General features: G+C 38.2%; 3 annotated features.

The window, feature by feature from the left end:
• Nucleotides 13,586-15,939: an enhancer, noted in NCBI's record as "VISTA enhancer hs1332". NCBI's record gives its function as "enhancer in: neural tube[6/6] | hindbrain (rhombencephalon)[4/6] | midbrain (mesencephalon)[4/6] | forebrain[4/6]" and the evidence as "EXISTENCE:transgenic organism evidence [ECO:0001131][PMID:17130149]".
• Nucleotides 17,201-17,495: a silencer, noted in NCBI's record as "tiled region #2239; K562 Repressive non-DNase unmatched - State 22:ReprW". NCBI's record gives its function as "represses a minimal TATA promoter and a strong SV40 promoter by Sharpr-MPRA in K562 cells {active_cell/tissue: K562}" and the evidence as "EXISTENCE:reporter gene assay evidence [ECO:0000049][PMID:27701403]".
• Nucleotides 17,201-17,495: an enhancer, noted in NCBI's record as "tiled region #2239; HepG2 Activating DNase matched - State 5:Enh". NCBI's record gives its function as "activates a minimal TATA promoter and a strong SV40 promoter by Sharpr-MPRA in HepG2 cells {active_cell/tissue: HepG2}" and the evidence as "EXISTENCE:reporter gene assay evidence [ECO:0000049][PMID:27701403]".

The following is a 21,716-nucleotide window of genomic DNA, read 5'->3' on the forward strand; positions in this document are numbered from 1 at the left end:
TTTCTATTATTCATCCATTGAACATCTACTATGTGCTAAGTTCTTGGTATGAAGAGCACAAAGGTAAACATAACCTATATAATAGATTGCCCTCATGTTGCTTCCAATCTAAAGGGGAAGACATATTAAAAATCTTAGGACAGTGTAATAAGCATTGTGCAATGGTGACTTAAGTAAAGTGCAATAGACAAGAATTTAAGGGAATGTAAATCTCTTTTTAATTTTGCTAGAGTTTGTTGCAGTTGTAAATGTACATGTTTGCCTCTGCTGGTTGATAAGTTCTTTGACAGCAAGAACTCAGTCCTCTTCATTTGCATAAATTTATCCACCACAGAAAGCAAGAACTTAATGGAAATCTGTTAAGTCCAGGTTTTCATGGTGGACACTTCAAATTTTATTGCTAAATGAAATGAACTCAATTGATTATCATAAAAGGACTAGACTTCGGGCTGTTTCATGGCAGTCACTGCTTCCCTATTAATCTTGATACCCTTAATATCTTGTCTAGGGTCAGATGCATAGCAGCTACACAAAACATTATTGTTGAATAAATGAATGAATAAACTTGGAATCTAAAAGTACCTTTGTCTATCACTAAACTTCTCATTTAAATAAGTGAAGAAATATTCTTTATGAATATTTGGGCTAACTGAACACTTAAAAGTCATGATAAATATCATCTTATTCTGGTATGTCTTAAATATGCCCCGCATGAATAAGGTGTGAGATTTACAGTCTAATTTCTCTATGTAAAAGCTTTTTATTTGGCTTCAAAGTCTTCAACTTCCCAGCAAAATTTCATTATGTCCCAGTTGAGTTCTGTTTAATGGAATTAAATTTCACCCCTTCTAATTATCTTTTGGAACAGACAATCTTTACAGAATAATTAGTAATAGAAGAACATAATGGATCATTGTCTTTATTACTGCAAAGAAACCCTAGATGCTGCTCTAAATCTTAAAAAAAGATCTCATGAAATATAAAATGTATTGAATTCTTCCTCTTAAATTATATAACATTTAAACTTTGTCAACATAGCTTAAAGATTAGGGGAGGTAATTATTTTCTTGCTTCACTTGAAATTATTTTATGAAACCACCTTAATGATCTCATTCAAATTAATTATGCTTATATTTTATTTTTAATATTTTTATTGGTAGGACATTTTATTATCCAACACAATTTAACCACATTTTTTTTCACTCATTTTGGACTTTATTTTGCTTCCATGGACTTTTTTTTCTTGCCTCTAACCTAAATTCATTAGATTATATATATAGAATACAAAAGAGGGCTAAAAACATAGCTACTCCAATATAAAAAAAAGATAAGATCTAATTAAAAATAATCTAACTTACCCATTTGAAAAACCAGGGTATCATTGGAAAAATTTCATAAAACATAGTTCAATGAAAAAGAAATATCCAAACATGGTTCTTTTATTTTAAAAAAATTAAAAAGCAGCAACACACACACAAAAATCTCCTTTTCCTTTCTCCACATTCAAGCAATTAAAACACCTTTAAAAAATGGAAGATGAAAAATGTGCTTGAAAAATGAGTAAGGTCCTTCTTGGACTTGTAGTCTTTATAGTTTAATTTGTTGAGAATTTAAAATTACAGTAATTGCCCTTAAATAACTGACATTATTTGACACTACAACAACAGAGGAGTGGAAATGACTGACAAACACACAAAAGACTTTTGTTATCTTTGTTTGTCTGCCTGAATAAATCTTAACAAGTATTTCAAAGATTTAAATTTATAGCATACTTAATCGCCATTAGATGGCCAATCCTATTGGCTTTCAGCTAAGTTTCACTGACACTCAACATTTTTCGTATCAACTTCTTTAACACATCTAGTTAGTCTCAACAACTGTTTTTAAACTAAATTATTACCTCTAAATTAAACATTTTGATAAAATACAGGCAAACCTTAGAGATATTGCGGATTTGGTTCCAGACCATCACAATAAAGTGAATATCACAATAAATCAAGTCACACAAATTTTGTGGTTTCCCAGTAAATGTAAGTTATGTTTACACAATACTGTAGTCTGTTAAGTGTGCAATAGAATTATGTCTTTAAAAAAAGTCAATGTACAGACCTAAATTAAAAAATACTTTATTGCTAAAAAATGTTAATGATCATTTGGGCCTTCAGTGATAGTGAATCTTTTCACTGGTGGAGATCTTACCTTGATATCAGCTGATGGCTGCTGACTAATCAGGGTGGTGGCTACTGAAGGCTGGGGTGGCTGCGGCAATTTCTTAAAATAAGACAACAATGAAGTTTGCTAGATTAACTGTCTCTTCCTTTCACGAAAAATTTCTCTATAGCATGAGATGCTGTTTGATAACATTTTATCCATAACAGAAACTCTTTCAAAATTGGAATCCTTTTAAACCCTGCTGCTGTCTCATCAACTAGTTTATGTAATATTCTAAATCATTCATTGTCATTTTAACAATGTTCGTAGCATTTTAACCATGAGTAGATTCCATCTCAAGAAACCATTTTTTTTGCTCATCTGTAAGAAACAACTCCTTATTCATTAGTTTTATCGTATGCTCACAGCAACAAAATCACATCTTTAGGCTCTATTTCTAATTCTAGTTTTCTCGCTATTTCTACCACATCTGTGGCTAATTCCTCAACTGAAGTGCTGAGCATCTTGAAGTCACCCACGAAGATGGGAATCAACTTCTTCCAAACTTCTGTTAGCATTGATATTTTGACCTCCTTCCATGACTCACAAATGTTCTTAATGGCATCTAGAACGGTGAATCCTGTCTAGAAGGTTTTCAATTTGCTTTACCCAGATCCATCAGAGGAATCACTAGCTATGGCAGCTATATCCTTTCAAAATTCTTTTTTTTTTTTTTTTTTTTTTTTTTTGAGATGGAGTCTCGCTCTGTCGCCCAGGCCGGACTGCGGACTGCAGTGGCGCAACCTCGGCTCACTGCAAGCTCCGCTTCCCGGGTTCACACCATTCTCCTGCCTCAGCCTCCCCAGTAGCTGGGACTACAGGTGCCCGCCACCACGCCCGGCTAATTTTTTGTATTTTTAGTAGAGACGGGGTTTCACCTTGTTAGCCAGGATGGTCTCGATCTCCTGACCTCATGATCCACCCGCCTCGGCCTCCCAAAGTGCTGGGATTACAGGCGTGAGCCACCGCGCCCGGCCCAAAATGTATTTCTTAAAGAATAAGACTTGAAAGTCAAAATTACTCCTTGATCTGTGTGGCTGCAGAGTGAATGTTGTGTTAGCAGGCATAAAAACAACACTAATCTCCTTGTACATCTCCATCAGAGTTCTTGGGCGACTAAGTGTCTTGTCAATAAGCAGTAATATTTTGAGAAGAATTTTTTTTTTCTGAATAATCGGCCTCAATAGTGGGCTTAGAACACTCAGTAAACCATAAACAGATGTGCTGTCATCCAGGCTCTGTTGCTCCATTTACAGAACCCAGGCAGAGTAGATTTAGCATTGTTTTTAAGGGCCCTGGGATTTTCAGAATGGTAAATGAGCACTGGCTTTAACTTAAAGTCACCAGCTGCCTTGGCTCCTAATAAGAGCCAGCCTATTACTTTAAAGCTTTTAAGCCAGGCATTGACTTCTCCTCTCTAGTTGTGAAAGTCCCAGATGACATCTTCTTCCAATATAAGGCTGTTTCATCTACACTGAAAACCTGTTGTTTAGTGTAGCCACCTTCATCAATTATCTTAGCTGGATCTTCTGGATAACTTGCGGCAGCCTCTCCATCAGCACTTGCTGCTTCACCCTGCATTTTTATGGTATAGACATAGCTTTCTTCCTTAAACCTCATGAACAAACCTCTACATCTTCTTCACCTCTCCCGCTTTCACAGAATTGAAGAGAGTAAGGGCCTTGCACTGGATTAGGCTTTGGCTTAGGGGAATGTTGTGGCTAGTTTGATCTTCCATTCAGATCACTAAGACTTTCTTCATATCAGCAATAAAGCTGTTTTGCTTTCTTATCATTTGTGTGTGCACTGGAGTAGTACTTTTAACTTCCTTCAAGGACTTTTCCTTTGCATTCACAGCTTAGTTAACTGATGCAAGGCCTAGCTTTTGGCCTATCTCAGCTTTCAAACTGCCTTCCTCACTAAGCTTAATCATTTCCCGCTTGTGATTTAAAGTGAGAGATACGAGACTCTTCCTTTTGCTTGAACACTTCGAGACCACTATAGAGTCATTAATGGGCCTCATTTCAATATTGTTGTGTCTCAGGGAATAGGGAGGCCTAGGGAGAGGGAGAGAGATGGGGGAATGGCCAGGCGGTGGAGCAGTCAGAGCATGCACAACATTCATTGATTAAGTTGGTCATCTATATATGTGTGCAATTCATAGCACCCTGATAGTAACATTTGACCTTACAATAGTAATATCGAGAGCACTGATCACAGATCACCATCATAGATATAATAATAATGAAAAAGTTTGGAATTTGTGAGAATTGTTCAAATGTGACACAGACATGAAGTCAGCAAGTGCTGCTGGAAAAATGGTGCCGATAAACTTGCTTGACACAGGGTTGCCACAAACTTTTAATTTGTAAAAAGCATGTCTGCTAAGTGCAATAAAGTGAATATCACAATAAAGCAAGTCACACAAATTTTGTGGTTTCCCAGTAAATATAAGTTATGTTTACACAATACTGTAGTCTGTTAAGTGTGCAATGGAATTATGTCTTTAAAAAAAGCCAATGTACATACCTAAATTAAAAAATACTTTATTGCTAAAAAATGTTAATGATCATTTGGGCCTTCAGTGATAGTGAATCTTTTTGCTGGTGGAGATCTTACCTTGATATCAGCTGATGGCTGCTGACTAATCAGGGTGGTGGCTACCGAAGGCTGGGGTGGCTGTTGCGATTTCTTAAAACAAGACAACAATGAAGTTTGCTAGATTAACTGTCTCTTCCTTTCACGAAAAATTTCTCTATAGCATGGGATGCTGTTTGATAACATTTTATCGATAAAATGAGGTATGACCATCTGTAGAATTTAATAGTATTAATTGAGTTAAGTACAGTCTCTTCTTTTATCTCCCCCTATACTGAGAACTGACTTGTTGGGGGAGGGGTGTTGAAACGGTGATTTTGAAAAATATAATTGACTGTCTACACTTCATGTAAGTTGATAGGTTGGTTAATATTTGGTTTGATGATTTATTTCTCAGAAAATCAAGTACATTTAAGAAATCAACACCCAAGCCATTTGTTGTGATTTAGATGTCAAGTAGAAGTCACTTAAAGAAAATCAAGTCTGCCATACAATTTAAAATTCCTGCAAGGAATACAGAATTCAAATGACACCAGTGAAATATAACTTTATTTTTTCATTATTTTTATTTAAGTATTTCGTTCTTATCTTTTCCTACTTCTAAATAAGACATAACCTACAAATGAACATAAAGCATTTCTTCTTGAAGCCATCATTTTATTTCCTAGTGAAAATAAACACTTAAAACAATTAAATTGCAATATTCCCTTAATTGGCAACACATTTGACATTTAAAAAATGTTTTCCCATAAATTCATTTAACATTTGCCTGGCTTAAAAAAAATCATCTCCTTTTTGTATTTTAACTTTGATGTCAAGTTCCATCCATACCAAACAAGAGGCATAACTGCTTCTACGTGCATTATAATCTAGCGACTTTCTGATTGGTAGTAAAGTAAGGAAATATTACATATGACATAAAGAATGGTCTTTTGGCATGTGAGCACTTGTAAAATAGCAAATATATTAGGTTTCTATTATGTTAGGTCACGAATATGAATGGGGCAGAGGGGGCTTTAAGTTCACTAATGCATGGTCCACCTCAGAAGAAAGATTATCTGGTTTTCTTTTTGGATGTGCTTCTCTTTGTCCATGATTACAGCCTATTTCTTCATGAAATTAAAAGATGCTAGCTTGTTTATTATCAGAAAACAAGTTAATTATTTGTACTGTTTGTGTATATCTATAGAGGCTAAGTACACACAATTACGACAACTCAATTTTTCCTTTAGCTCTCTTCTAGTGCCTTTATGAAGTCAATGAAAGCACATCCTACCTATCCAAGGTTCTAAGGACTTTTCTGCTGGAGCTATTTGTTCCATACTAGCTATTTACACTAACTGCCTAATTAACCAGCAGAAACTCTGATTCATTCCTCTGGCCAAATAAGGCAATTTCCTTCCCTCCTTCTCATCTGGTACAGGTGAAATGTCCCATAGCTTTAGATCTGACATTGTCATTGCAATGATACTCTTTCCCTTCCTCTCTTTCCAAGTGCTAAAACCTGGGAACATCTTTTTCATAATAGCTAATGAAGATTTCACAGGAAACAAGTCTCTTTTTAGATCTAAAGTCTTATAACAACTTCTTAATGTGAAATCACTGAGATGCTTTATTTTCAACTCAACTATTGCAACCCCATTCTCCTTTGAGCTGAGAATGTTCTAAGAATCTTGATTATGGATGATGAATTAAAAATTATGGAGTTTATCTCAGAGACCAGGAAACATCACCTTCATCCATAATTACTCTAATATTTGAGCCAGTATTTAAAGACAGGCAATTGGCAGTTGGCACAAGGTGGAAATTATTTTGGCAACTCGAGGGTTAAATATTAATTGACCTATTAGTTCTCAGTATTCATTTATTTAATCTCAGTTACACACCATGACAAGCAGATGAGTCTGATGGCAATGTCTTCACCAGCTTTCAGAATTGTCCTTCCTGTGAACTTAGCTGCTCCTGAGCTGATAGGATCAGCAAACTTCCTGAAGCCTACCGGGAGACTGGTGATGTTCAAAGAGTGGTTCAGGAAAACAAGAAAAGCAAATGTTCTTAATCTTTGAGGCAGAAGGAAGGGTAGGGAGAAATTTTAAAATACAGCAAGGAATTATTTCCCTGTCGATTGTATTTTGACAGGAAAGCAGAATGTATTCTTACATTGTTTTTCTCTTTAAAGATTTATTTAAGGAAAACCCATGTTCAAAATTGGGCTGATCAAAAGAGGGAAGATATTGATCTTGTGAGTGGCAAATGCCGAAACATCATCTGAGGAATTATAAATTAATCGGTTACGTATCAAATTAATCTAGCATTTAAATTTAGACTCAGTATGGCCAATTATTTAGCTATAGTTATAACAGATACTCTTAATGTTATTGTTAGTGTTTGAAAGTGTGTAATAGTGATAGAAGAGATCTACTACTTTCATTCAGGTGGTCTCCAGGAACAACATTAATTTGGAAAGTGATGTGTAAATGCCACATGTTTACTTATAAAATCTCTGTTCATTTGTATTCTATTCAGTGCAGGTTACATGGTTTGGATCTTTTTGTTAGTGACATCTTGACTCTGGGTTGAGATTATTTGAGAGATAACTTACCAGCCTATAGCAGGTATTATTGGGTTTACTTTGTCCTTATCAGACTTAGGAGAAATAAAATAAACTTCCTTCTATAGTTACTGGTGCAAAGATTGATCTATAGTCACTAATCATCTTCATGTGATGAATTCTTAGGGCAAAAACAGAAACGTTTACTCACAGTTTGCTTGATACCAGAGCTGAAGTAACTTGATTATTCTTTTCTGGTTTAAAACATGTTTTAAATGACCAAATGAAAGAAAAAAGCAATTAGTAGTACTTTTTTTTTGCATTACACAATACTAGATGAGTAATACGTTAAGACTTTTGTACAAATATGTCTAGAAGGACACTCATTTGTAATAATTAGTTAATAGAACATTCAGCAACAAAATGTTCTGTTGGGAGACACACTTTAATTTTTTCCAAATCTCATGTTCATAATTGTCCCCCACTGTTACCAAATAAATTATATTGTTAGAGCAATACACTAAAAAACACAACACATCTTTGTTACGGAAAACATTTAACAGTCAAGTTGAATTTCATAAAATATTTTATGACTAAAGTTGAGGGAAAAGGCACAAAGAAACAACACAAATGAAATTTAAATTTAATGAATATTCTGTTGTTGCCTGCCAGAGGGAATAAATATTTTCATATTCATTTTCTCTTTTAAGTATACCTGGTAACTGTGTAACTTTCCCCTCCTCACTTCTATTTGGTTCTCTTATTCATTAAGCTTTACTTAGGTAGAGGACCACACAAACATACCAGCATTTTGCTAAGTTGCACACAGCCACGTTAGAGGGAAATAGTAATTGATCTGTAGCTCCTAGATATCTGGCTGTTGATCTCAGTCATACACAGAGATTCTCAGTCATACCCAGGAAACAAAAGGTCCAGAACAGTAGGGCTTTCTTTTGAAAGTAGCTGTATGCTGGCTATTAAATGTTGAGGCTGGTTCTATGCAAGGAAATAGTTGTATTTGCTCCTCCAAGGAAACCCCTTGTATTTGTCGCATTCCTACACTGAGAAAAGCATTCTGGTGCTTTCTGAGATAATCATATGCTTCTCAGGGTTTTGTTATGATTTTTCTATTAAGGCCAACTACGCGTAATATTGGTGGGCATGGCTTAGATCTGATCAAAGTTGTGGTAATACACAATAATGTCTAAACCCTTTTTGATACCCTGCTGTAAAAATGGGGATGAGAAATACCATTTACTGAAGACCTGCTCTGTGACAGGCACTGCATATATTGCAGATACTGCAAATATATTACATAAACTATCACACCACAACAACCTCATGAGCTAGATACCATTATTTTCCTTCCCATTATGCAGATAAAGAAACTGAGACTCAGATGTATTAACTTTCCAAAATTGTTTGAATTGAGACCTTACACAACTCTGATTAACTTGCCAACCGATACCTAAAAATAAAAGCCTCAGTTGGGTGGAAAAGCTCTGAAAAGCATTTTCGTTCAAGACAGTTCAACAAACTACTGTAACTGGAAAATTTTTCAGTTTGAATAAGTCACTTGTTTAAAACATGGGATGATTCCTGACCTTGCTTAAAGTGCTGATAGAGTGGCCAGCCTGTGTTTTCGGCTGCTGCACCAGGTAAATGGAAGTCCACTCACCACTCACTGTGTGTGACAGTCTATTTTTTTCCCACCGTGGAGTTTTTATGTTGATGCTTCTCTAAAACTCTTTTTTCAGAGTGTGAGCAGGATAAAAATATAAAAATACAAGGATACAATAGTGTTTTAAGAAACACCCTATTTGTTGTTCAATGTTCAAAGTTTTTTCATGGCCAGCAAATACAGCATGTTTTGTTAAGTCTTCCAGAAACATCCAAGTCCTGGATTACTTGTATATGAAGATTGGTTATATACAAGCATATACTTATTTGATTCACCAATAAGACCAAATAATTTGATTCCCACATAGACAAAATTCTCCTAAAATGCAATTCAGGATAATCATTCCTTCTCAGACTTTATTTTTTCCCTCCTGTTAAAACCAAAATGCAAACAGGACTGGGGGAAAATTCTCTAGTCCAAATAGACACGCAACATGCAAACTGCTGTTGCAGTTTTGCAGACTGCTGTTAAAAATGGCACCATACATAGGTATACTTAAAGTAAAATTTAAAAAAGTTCATGGAAAACAAAACTAGAACAAACATTTTCATAGCACACTAAAAATAAATAAATAAATATATATATAAATAAATAAAAGGCACCATTAAAAAATCACAGCTCCTAGAGGCAGATAAAACCTCAGACTGGGTTTAGTCAAGCAGGATACCGAGAAAATTTTTTCAAGGTTTTGGTAATTTTACTTCCTTTTTGTCTGCCTACAAGACTTCCTTCTACCTCAATGAGTGTTTATTATTATTACTATTATCATTTAACATAACTGACACAATTAGTCTTTTGAAAGAACAATAATGAGATGGACAAGTGGGTCTCTGGCTTTTGGAGAGGGTTATTAATAAGTCATTTGACACTAATAGACTGGAAAAATAATTTGTGGCCCATGTAAGTGATAAAATATCCTTAATTTGAAGACATTGCTTATAGCAAATGTTTAGGAGTTGAGAACCCACAGGACTGTTCAATAATGATATTGAGTCTAAATGCAATTGTAATAAGTAATCTGTTGTTATAATGATACCAGTTCCCATTTATTGAGGGCTTACTATGCACAAAGCACTGTTCTAAGCACTGGCATGCATTATCTCATTATACTTCACAACAGTCTCTATGAGAGAGTACTATTATTGACCCCACTCTACAGATGGTGAAAACAAGGCTTAGAGAGATCATCACTTGCTCAGTGCTACAGAGTCAGTTGTTAAGCTGAGATTTAAACCCAGATCTCTTTTACCCCAAAACCTGTTGGACTAATCTACAACACAACTTTGCCTTCTGTACTCTGAATCCTAAAATAGTCAAGCTGAAAGCAACCTCTGAGACTGCAGTCCAGCCTCTTTCTTGTACATATGAGAAAATTGAAGTTTTAAAAAGGAACTATGTCTTTCTCATCACCCTAATAACAAATTGGTGACTGAGCAGGCCTAGAACTCAGGTCTCTTGCCTTCAATTCCAGATAGAATGCCATTCTATCATTTAACAAAATTTGCATGACCCAGGAGACTAGAAGACTAGCTCTGCAGTTTAACACACACACACACACACACACACACACACACACACACACACACACACCAGATAAAATACCAAAGAGCTAAATTCAGGTTGCTTCTGTGTTTTCTAACTTGCAGCTGCTTCATTGCAGGATCATACAACACATGATGCGACAGGGACTTAAAGCCACACATAAAACATATTAAATGTAGTCAGCAGTGATGAGATTTGGTACCAAATAAGAAGCTTTAATTAATTTTAAATGGTGCTTTTCATAGTGTCAAAAGCTCAGTCCACTGAAGTGGAAAAGGGGGTTGGAATGGCCAGATCCTAGCAACCCAGCTAATCTGGGCCCTTCTGAGCAAGCTCATTTGGAATTCTTACATCAGTGCATCGGCACGCCGAGGTGGGGCTCATGGGGACAAACAAAATAGCAACCCCAACTCCGGCACTGCTCAGAATCCCGCATCCCGGGGAGGCCTGAGAGTTCAGCTGTATTAAGGGGCCGTTGGAGTTTCCCTGTTATTTGTCTACTTTTTGAGGATTAGAACTTCCGCTGGGCTGTGTTCATCTGTGCTGAGAATTTAAACTCGGTGCATGCAACAACAGGAACAGCGAGATCTGCTAGAAACGTTCAAAAAGAAGTCTGTTGTGACTTTTAAAAGCTGTTAGATGCACAAAGAGCAATAAATTGAAGGGTTTCTGATTTCTTCGGGGAGTGTATATTGGGCAGTGATTTCTTTTTCTATTTCCTTCCCCCCACATCATGAGCCTTTGTTTCAAGGCTGCGACCGTACAGATATTCACCATGTAGACCTATTTGAGTAGCATCGTTTTAGAAAGGCTGGTACACCCACACACACCCCCACACACAGGTGACCAGGAACCTTCTTTTTCTCTCCATGACATAGAAATAGAAACTATCGTTATGGTCCTTCCTCCTAGAGGCCGCAGAACCATGTAGTAAGAAGCAAACAGTAAGGACCAGTTGAGATTTTCTGTGACCCAATTCCCTGGCTTTACAGGTGAGGAAACTGAGGCTCAATGTGCCATGACAAGAATGAGGACACGACTGCAGATTTCTCTATTTTCCTGTTCCTTTCATTATTACTCAGCTCATCATTTATAGGTATTGTTTATAAGAACAGCATATAAATAAGAGCCAGGTACCAGTTGGGAATGTGACATACTTACTGTTTTCAATGTAGGGACTATGTTATGCATACATATTGATGACAATAATGATAAAAATTGTGACTAGTTCTTAACAAGTGAAGCATTCATTTGGGTCAACAATCGTGGATCAAAAATATTTTATTTCTGCCTATTACTTTATCTTACATAAATGCACGGCTTGTCATGTGAACGTAACTAACACAAAATAATTATAAGTTTCTGAGGATCATCCATTTATTGACAAGAGTTATAAGCTTTTTTCTTTTTCCCCAAACTCAGACGTGACTCTGTTTTGTCCTCTACAGAAAGAAACAGTAAAACATCACCCATTCCTCACCCATGCTTTCTGTCCCTGTTGTATGAACAGGGGTCTAGAATCAAGACCATCCTGCAGCCTAGGTGATTTGCTATTAGTGGTAGGAATGTGCACAAAACAGTTTAGGCCAGCATCCAAAAGCACATATCTGTTCAGTGATCTAGTTCCTGAAAAGGAACTAGAAATGATCAGGTTTCCATCACAGGATTTTTAGAAACTTGATATTGGCAAGATTGGAAATATTTTAAGGAGATTCTTTTTAAGGTGTTCCTGTTTTTTCTACATTTCTAGCCTATATCAAATTAGAGTGAGAAAGAAAAGGAAAGAGCTAAGAGAATAACAATTGTACTTTGCATTACATTGAGGAACACTGATTTTCTAGCATTAATTTTTAATATTTACTAATGAAAAGTCACAGAAACTCAGGTAAACTCTTTATTGATGGTTTTAAACATTTTTTTTCTTAGTATACTTGAGATACCCTTCACAGTTGTTTAAGTCATTTCATTAACTCTGTATTGAGTATCCCAATAGGTTTTTCCCCTGCAAACAATTGAATTTTCTTTTCTACCTGTCCCTTTGCCTCCTTAAACACAATCCAAATATGGGATGCTGGTATTAGTATGGTTATTACTGGACTTTTGAAAGCATCTTTTTGGTCTTATCTACCAATCATTCCACTCAGAAGAAAAAAGTTAAATTGAATGGAGCCTGCTTATCTTGTTAATAATAGTAGCTCTCATCATAGAAATATTTTATACAGTACTTATTCAATATCTTCTGAGAGATGTGTGTATGTGTATAATAATATTTTTAAAAATAAGAAAGTTCTTGGCATATATGAAGTATAAAACTACCAAATATTAAAATAACTGAATCAATAGAATTTATAAATAGATATCTGTTTTGCCCATCTATACCACTAAAATGCAAATAATATATTAGTTAAAACTTAGAATGGAAAGAAAAATGAAATTTAAATGCTAATCTGAAAACATTCTTTGTTTGCATGTAGGGATGTGCAGTATGAAACTGACTCTCTCAGCTCAGCCACTTAATAACTAAGCAAGGATTAAGGTAGCAGGTAATAGATCTTGTAAGTACAGAAAATGGAGGGAGTTGTGGGAGTGAGTGTGGGGAGAAATCCAAAAACGGTTTTGGAAAAGCAGTAACTTTGTACACACTTTGATCATTGCTGAGAAAAGGGTAAAGAACTTTTGTTAGCCTTAGATAAGTTCAACAACAAGAGAGTAAAGGTTAAGAATCCTACTTTCAGTTCTAGTGTGGAATTAGAAGTCCATTTGCCCATCAATACACAGGGGATTTGCACATGAGAATGAATGGGAGTTACATGATCAAATCCTTCAGAGATCTGTGAGAAAATAAACTCTAGCAAGAATATTTGAACTATCTTTTATAATAGATGAATCGTCATAATAGACATGCTTATAGGAATTTTAATATTTCAAGAATAATGTATAAGTACGTCTAAATAGATGTGTATTTATATACCTCTATAAAATATACGTATATATTTGAAATCTGCATGTATCTATGTGATTATGCACTAATTCTAGTCAGTAAAACAGCTCATTAAGTGCTCCTAGTAGTTTGTGTGTGTGTGTGTGCTGTTTTGAGGACATGATTACAGCATATACGATTTAATTTAAACAATTGAGATAATACTATGGAAAAACTCAAATGCACTTCATATGAATTTTTCTTTTACTTTCTTTTTTTTCCCTGTTTTTTTAGTAGGCTCAACCATGAAACACACAAAAATATGTTCATTACATTTTTTCTCAGAGGAGGCTTTTCAACAATAGATAAAGCATCTCTATTTTTCTTTAAAAAGACCAAAAGAAGCAAATTTTCCATTTTCCTTTACAAGCAACACTGGATTTTCACATGCAGATTTTAGCATAAAACATCTTCTCACTGTGGGAAAAGTGGTGCATTCTTGTACAAATTAAGATAGATAATTCTTATACTAACACGCGTATTATAATATTAAAACATATACGGAGGTGGATGGAAGGCTAGTGTTTATTAGACTATTTCAGCTCTTCATAATCTGTTTGCTTACTCCTATAGCAACTTGTTGATAATAGGAAGTCTTTTGTGAGAAACGGCATGAAAAACAATAAAAAGCATCAGATTTAATAAAGTATCTAAGGAAAGTCTTAAAATGACACCCACACTATGAAGGGAAAGCCAAATTTGCTTTTTCTGAGGGGAATTTGTGTTCGTCAGGAAGGGTTCCTGGAGGCTTTGTTTTGAGGCCTTGATGTGTGACCAGTGCGCTACGGGCCGCCCTTCACCCTTGCCCTTCTTCTACCACGGCTCTGCCCACCCATACTGACACCGCAGGGGGAAGGGTTTCAGAGCAGAAAGAATCAAAAGCTGAGGGACGGGGGAAAAAAAGTGCTTTTCAGGGTCTGATGTGTGGGAATCAAATGAGAGGCCTAGCTCAAATCCGGTCGCCAGGCAACCAAAGTGATATGCTGAGGGAATATCATTAAAGTTGGAAAGTAAGCAGTCTCTCTGAATTAGTAAACCAACCACAGGATCGACGATACACCGAACTCTCTCAGTGCTGGAGCGCAATTTCTCCAAGGAGGACAAGCGGGGGGCTTTGCTAAGTGTAAGGGGGAAAGGAGAGGGAGAGGGAGTGAGAGAACGCAGCTGATTTGTAGAGTTTTTTCATAAAAAAAAGACAATGGCTGTCCAGACATGGAGTTGGTGGTGAAATATGGTAACTGCCACGGCTGCAGCTGGCTCTCTGACACAAGATTAATAAGTTGCCGTTTCCTAGCCGACCAGAACCTAGTGGGAACTATCCAGCATTTTATCTTGAATTGTGGGTAACAGCCTTACTGCAAGCTGGCCTAGTTTACTGCTCTGTTTTTTCCACATCTCCCAAAGTGCAGCAAACATCTGTGACTCTAATGAGGTCATCATTGAGGGTGTCCAGCGAGCTGGGCCCTGAGAACTGACCTCACCTCTGCCTGAACATAAAGTACAAGTGCTGTGGGGAAGCAGGACAAATTAAATGGGGGAGCTGGCACTTGGCTGTGAGTTAAGCTCTTAAGAAACTTTTTGCTGTGATTAAAAAAGAGAGGGAGAGAGAGGGAGAGAGAGAGAGAGAGATTGAGGTTCAGAAATGACAGTACAACAAAGCAGTAGCAAGCCTACAGAATTACATTTAGGCCTCACTGATGAATATTATCACTGACATGAACAAGCAAAGCTTATCTAGGCCTTCCTTCTTGAAAGGCTGAATAAAATTGAATTGCCAACTTCTGCATTTTACCACATTTTGGTGGAAATGTCTCAGAGACCTACATGATTTAAAAGGAAACCTGGGAGAATTCAACCACAAAGTGTATATATGTGTTTCTGACAGCAAAATTTCAAGCATTATAAACCATGTCATATCATTTATAAGTAATTTGATTACAGACACAGAAAACAAATCAAACTTCTCCAGATAGGTCTTTCTTTTCCCTGCAGTTATTCCAACAGAGGCATGGTTTTTATAAATAACATGACCAGGCAAACATGCAAACACAACCCAAAACTGCATTCAAACCAGTGAACTATAATAATTTTGTTTAGTCATCAGAGGAAAGAACATTGAAGACGTGACTGTACCCACTGATTTCTTAAAACAGTCCATTTCAATGGAGTGAGAAATGTAAGCTTTCAAAAGGAAGAAAAATGTTTTAAGTTTGGAAGAAAAAAAGCATATTTCTGAAAGTTTTCTCTATCATTTAATATGTAAGTGTATCAGCCACATGTTGAACATGTATTGTTCATTTTAGCTACATCTGCTCTCAGTGAGAACAGTCATTCTTGATTCCTAAAAAAAAAAAATGGCTATGTGGATAAAGTCCAGAAGGAGAAAAAAAGATGGAGGTCATCTTCAAAACTCATCTAGAAACCTTCATTCATATGTATTAACTCACTATGTATGCAGATGTATTTTTCCCTGGGAGCAAATCCATGAAGCCCAGAATGACATGTCACAGTACTTTTACAAAGAGTTTGATTTTTAAAAAGTAGGCATATGACGAGATTAAATCTGGCAAGTTTTTATCTTATTATTCTCATATTATTATCAGGCTCACTGCAGCCTTGACCTCCCTGGCTCAAGAAATCCTTCTACCTCAGCCTACTGAATAGCTGGGACTATTGGCATGCACCACTACCCCTGGCTAATTTTTTAAAAAATCGTTTTGTAGAGACAGAGTCTCACTATGTTGCCCAGGCTGTTCTCAAAGTCCTGGGCTCAAGTGGTCCACCTGCCTTGGCTTCCTAAAGTGTTGGGATTACAGGCATGAGCCACTACACCCAGCCTCAGTATTATTAGACCAGATCTGATGCAAGAGATACAGAGGACTTGCAATAGAAATGTAATCACTTTCTCAAAAGCTAGAAAATGTTATACAAAACTTTTGTTTGACTAAATATGTAGTATAGGTGGCTGGAGACTGAGAGGGCAAGAGCAGATAGGCTAGATAACAGAAAGTGTTAGCTATTTCTGTTTGATATGAGCCTTTCCACTGTGATATCAAGAGGGAAATCAAGGAGCTGTCCTAAACTTAATTTAGAAATAATGGATATTATGGATTAGGAATGATTTTGAACATGTGCTTTAATGTAGGACATTCAGGATGGAGGGTTTAAACAGTAATGCTAGAGAAAAGTTCTAGTGTTACCTGCAAGTCCCTCAATTTGGACAGCAGAAATCTATCCCATTACACTCTTTCTCAGTTTTCAGGAAGGGCCTGCCTAATGCCCATTTCAAGGCTGAGTTTATTTTTTAAATGCAAATGAAGGAAGTGTTGCGTTCAGCTTTGCAAACAGTTTTCAGAAATCCTGTTGGCCTACATTTAGCTGGGAAGCAGCACCCAGTACCAAGTGTAGGGGCTCGAACAATCAAGTAGTTGTTTGCCTCACTCACATTCCTGAGGCAATCTGGTTCCAGCTGAACTCCTTGGGAACAGTCTGGGCTATGTACCCCTGGGGCATCTGCCCCAATTAGCATTGACCCTTGTGGGCCTCCTTGCTGGCTCTAGGTTGCTCCCAACCTCTTGAACTCTGGGTAAACCAGATTGCTTTAAGAGCCTCCAAAGCTTTCCACAGCCCCAAGATGAACTGGACATCCAGGCTCACCAACAGAAATTCAGTCACCCTGTAGCGCCCAAATCAACATGGCCTCCTCCAGGTTCTCTGAGCCAGAGGAGAGACCCATGTGTTGGGATTATTGCTATGACTAAGAAACAAGAGGAAAGAAGGCTCAAAGAGTGCTTTGCCAGGCTAAACTCAGTAGTATGTGGAAAGAGTACACAGGTCTAAAGCCTCACAGAACTAGGTTGGACTCTTGGACCTTCTCTAACTAGCTGGGTGACCTTGGCAAGTCACCAAACCCTATCAAGCTTCAATTTCCTCATGTGTAAAATGGGGACAAAGATGTCTCTCCTGCAGTATTTTTGCGAAAATTAAATGGTTTAATGCATGTAAACATGTTCAGTAAAATGTCTGGCTTATAGTTGGCCCTCAGGAAATGGGAGTTAATTACAAAAAATAAAAAATAAAACCCATCATGTTTAACCAGGGCAATACCACTCCTGAGAAAATCCAGGCCCACACGATTCTTGAATTCCCTCTTTTTTGTTGTGGTTCATGATCCGTTTGTTACTACCTCTTCCTTTCTCAGAAAACAAATAACCCACAACTAATTTTTGTACCTCTCTCGTCCAGCACTTCCAGGAACTGTGGGGTTGACAGAAGGGATATGCAACAGGTTCTGCATCCTTGAGGATCTCACTGCAAGAACAGCACAGAAAGAGCATGACCCAACTCAAGAGGAGTCTAGACATCGAGTTGCACAAGACTGAGTGTGCACAATGGGATTGGAGAGAAGTAACGGCATGGGCTGCCATGATCAGGGAAAGCTGCACAGAAGTGTTGGGTTTGGTGAGTGTCTCACAGTGAGTGACTGCTATGAATCAGATACTGAGGCAGAGCTAAATAAGGTGCAGCCTTTGCTCTAAGGAGCTTAGAACCAGTAAAGAAAGACGTATTAACATGCAATGTTTAAATGGTGCAGTGAGGGAGTGCTAGGAATGGTTTTCGGGAATATTGTAAGAACATGGAAGGAAAAGGGCTTAAGTTGGCTTTGCAGGATGAATTGGGTCTAAGTTAGCCCTAGGTAGGTGGATCAGCACGAACAAAGGTATAACAGTGGGGAAACAAGCCAGGTACCCCTGTGTGTGCATGTGTGTCTGTGTGTCAGGATGGGATGGGGGCTGGGGAGGATAGGGAGAGAGGAGAAGAGGATATATAAGTGGAAGAAAAAAATAGGTCGGAAATTAGATACAAGATTTAAAGGGGAACCTATTCCAAATAGTTATCTTTCTTTTTACTGATGTGGCAGATGATCCCACTATGATGATCCATGGTTGGTAGGTTATAAAGGCTAGAGATTTTAGAGTATGGCTTTAGTGGGTGAGCTATGCAGTTTATTCACATTTCAATATACTCCTATTTCCCAAAGAAATTTCACAAGCTGGTGGGATCAACCAGAGTGGGGCTGGAACCAGGAGTGATTTTTGTGAGTTGGTTTTCTGATCAAGGCTTTCTCTTAGAAACTAGCCAGGAAAGCAGAAATCTGGGCCCAAGTTTCTGCAGCAGAATCCATTGTCCAGGCACTGGGTGTGGGGTGGGAGTAAAAGGACTATGAGGATTGGGACACAGACAGCACTTTTGGAATTGGCTGGGAGAAAGGAACTAGCACTAGACACTGCTTTGAGACTCTCTGAAGACCCCTAAATCCCAATCCAATACCCAGCAAGTCCTCTACTTCTTTGGCTTGAGTCATCTCTTGTATTGGCTGATCCCTGCTGGTATGGCTGTCTGCCCTGCATGCCGGGGCCAGAACAGGAAAGGGGTTGAGGTTCTGGGTCCTTCTTGACAAGGTCATCCAAGGCTCTATCTTATGGAATTATCCATGTGTATTTATAATAATCTGTGAGCTCTAGTAGTTCAGAAGGTCTTCAGTGCTCTAACAAATGCTCCTTTGAAGAGAAAAAAAAAGTATGAGCCATCATGAGCTTCTTCCCTTAGTGACAAGAGACCTGGGGACATCTGCTTCTTCCACCACTGGGACTGAACATTACCGAACAGTAGTTCTGCTGTGTGAGTATTTAAGTGTCACCGGGAAGAGTAAGCTATTGAAATACAACCACTCCGCTCATTTGGAGTTTCCCTTCTTTTATCCAACATTTATTAAGCACCTATTATAAGCTAAACGTAATGCTAGACACAGTTTCCATCTTCAAAAGCTCAGGGTTAAGAAGAGTGAGAATGCTGGTAGAAGCAAGCATAAAACATGGAGAGAGACCACAGGAGTGGGCCTTGGGATCAGGAAAGGTTTCCTGCAGAGGAGACAGAAAACACCGTGGAATAGTTGACATGATTGCATGTGAGGACATGTGGGACAGAGAGCTGAAGCAGGATAGGCAAGCAGGCCATGAAGTATCTTACACAGCAGGCCAACGAGACAGAGTTTTATCTTGAAGGAAATAGGGCATCGCGGAAGGTCTTAAGCAAGGAAATGGCACAATCAGTACTGTGTTGTAAAGCAGTCATTTAGCAGCTGAAAAGTGGAACTGGTGATGGGGCAGGAAGAGACTGCAAGTCTGTGAGGCAAACGATGAAAATATTATTAGTTATCTTTCTATGGATGATACATTTTAGATGCCTGTTAGTTTACTTGACCAAATTCTCAAGGCTCCCCAGGGGAGTTTCTTGAGGACAGGGACCCATGTTTTTTACTTTAGTGTGCTTTCCTCTGTCTAGACAATCCTAGTCCATAAGGCACTTGCAAATCGCTGCTGAATCAATGGCAAATCTAGGGTGAGGAATCAGGTTTCCAGTGCTCCAACTAGAGCTTTTTCTATACCCACACAGTGGTTTCCCAAGAGAGTTTTATTTTGGAAATGATTAGAGGTTGGGGTAGCATTTTTGTGTAGTAGAGCCCAGCACCATTAGACCTTTTGTGAATACTGAGTGGAGCAGGCCAGTGTCGGAGAGGGGAGCTAAAGAAGTAAGAAAAAGCCGGGCGTGGTGGCTCACGCCTGTAATCCCAGCACTTTGGGAGGCCAAGGCGGGCAGATCACCTGAGGTCGGGAGTTCGACACCAGCCTGACCAACATGGAGAAAACCCATCTCTACTAAAAATACAAAATTAGCTGGGCGTGGTGGCACGCGCCTGTAATCCCAGCTACTCGGGAGGCTGAGGCAGGAGAATTGCTTGAACCCAGGAGGCAGAGGTTGCAGTGAGCCGAGATTGTGCCATTGCACTCCAGCCTGTGCAACAAGAGTGAAACTCCATCTCGAAAAAAAAAAAGAGGTAAAAAACGAGTGTTCCCTTTAGTCTCCAGTGCATTATTAGACTGTGAGGCATTTTGGTAGGAGCTGCAGCCGGTAGATGGCTAAAGAGGAGGACTTTGGGCAATCCAGAGTCAGAGTGAGGTCATTAAGCTCTTGGGAGAGGCAGGAGGGAGACAGAGACGTTTCTAGGAAGTAGTAGAGACTAGGTTAGGAGATAGGAGGAGCCCTGCTTTGACATTTTGCCGCTGGCCTGCACCCTCCCCACCCCTCTACCCTAAAGGCAGAGAGGGAGCTTTTGAGCTTCCATCTTTGTCTAGTCAGTTCCTTTTGTCATTAGGCACCCATCAGCTTCGGCCCACCCAGAATGTAGAAGTGATGTATAAGAATGTGGATAAAGGCTGCACAGCACAGGGCTGCATGGGCTCTTGAATCTGAGCTCTGGAATATTTTGGCCTCAGTTTTCTCATCTGTAAAATGGAAATAATAGTACCCACTTCAGAAAGTTGCTCTGAAGATTTAATAGATGATGTTTGTAAAGAGTTCAGCATAAGTGTCTGACCCAAGTTAGGCACTGAAAAAAAGATTTGCATTGATTATTTTCAGGAGCTGGGGAGGTGAGAAGGTCATGGAACCAATAATTGATGGCCCCAGAGATGCATCTCTCAATAACGACATTAAACTTCACAATTGGCCACCAGATGGCTCTTGAGAAACTTCCCTTATGTCCATATCTGCTCCTGGTGTGGCTGAGGGATCGGCCTCCATTGTAACAAGCACAGACACCCAGGGTAGTGGAAGAGGGAAGGCCCTGGCGACAGCCAGCGAGTAGAACCAACAGAAGGCCTCAGGAAACCCTGGGGTGGCCACCCACGAAAGCAACAGCCAGCAGCTGGAAGGAATGCTTAGAAATGTGTCTGCATAACCATATTTTAAAACATACCAGACTAACCCAAACTAGGAAACAAAGGAAATATAGTCATATCTTCAAATGCAGCCTATCCAGCACACTAACCCTAAGTGTGACCCAGGAAAATTTGAGGAATTGAAGTACAAAAGAGGCTGTATTTCTTCTATCATCCTATTTATCATGGACATCACATACAAAAGTAAATAAAATATTCAAAAAATATTAGAAAAACAGGCAAATTCTTATTTACTTTCAATAACTCAAAGAATCTTTATTCAAAAGAAAAAAATCCATAGCAGTGGGTTTCTCCAGAAAAATTTCTGATTGAAATATTTACTCATTAGCATTTGCACTGATACATTTTTCC

The sequence above is a fragment of the Homo sapiens genome, chromosome 3 (genome assembly GCF_000001405.40).
Source record: "Homo sapiens chromosome 3, GRCh38.p14 Primary Assembly".
Classification (NCBI taxonomy): domain Eukaryota; kingdom Metazoa; phylum Chordata; class Mammalia; order Primates; family Hominidae; genus Homo; species Homo sapiens.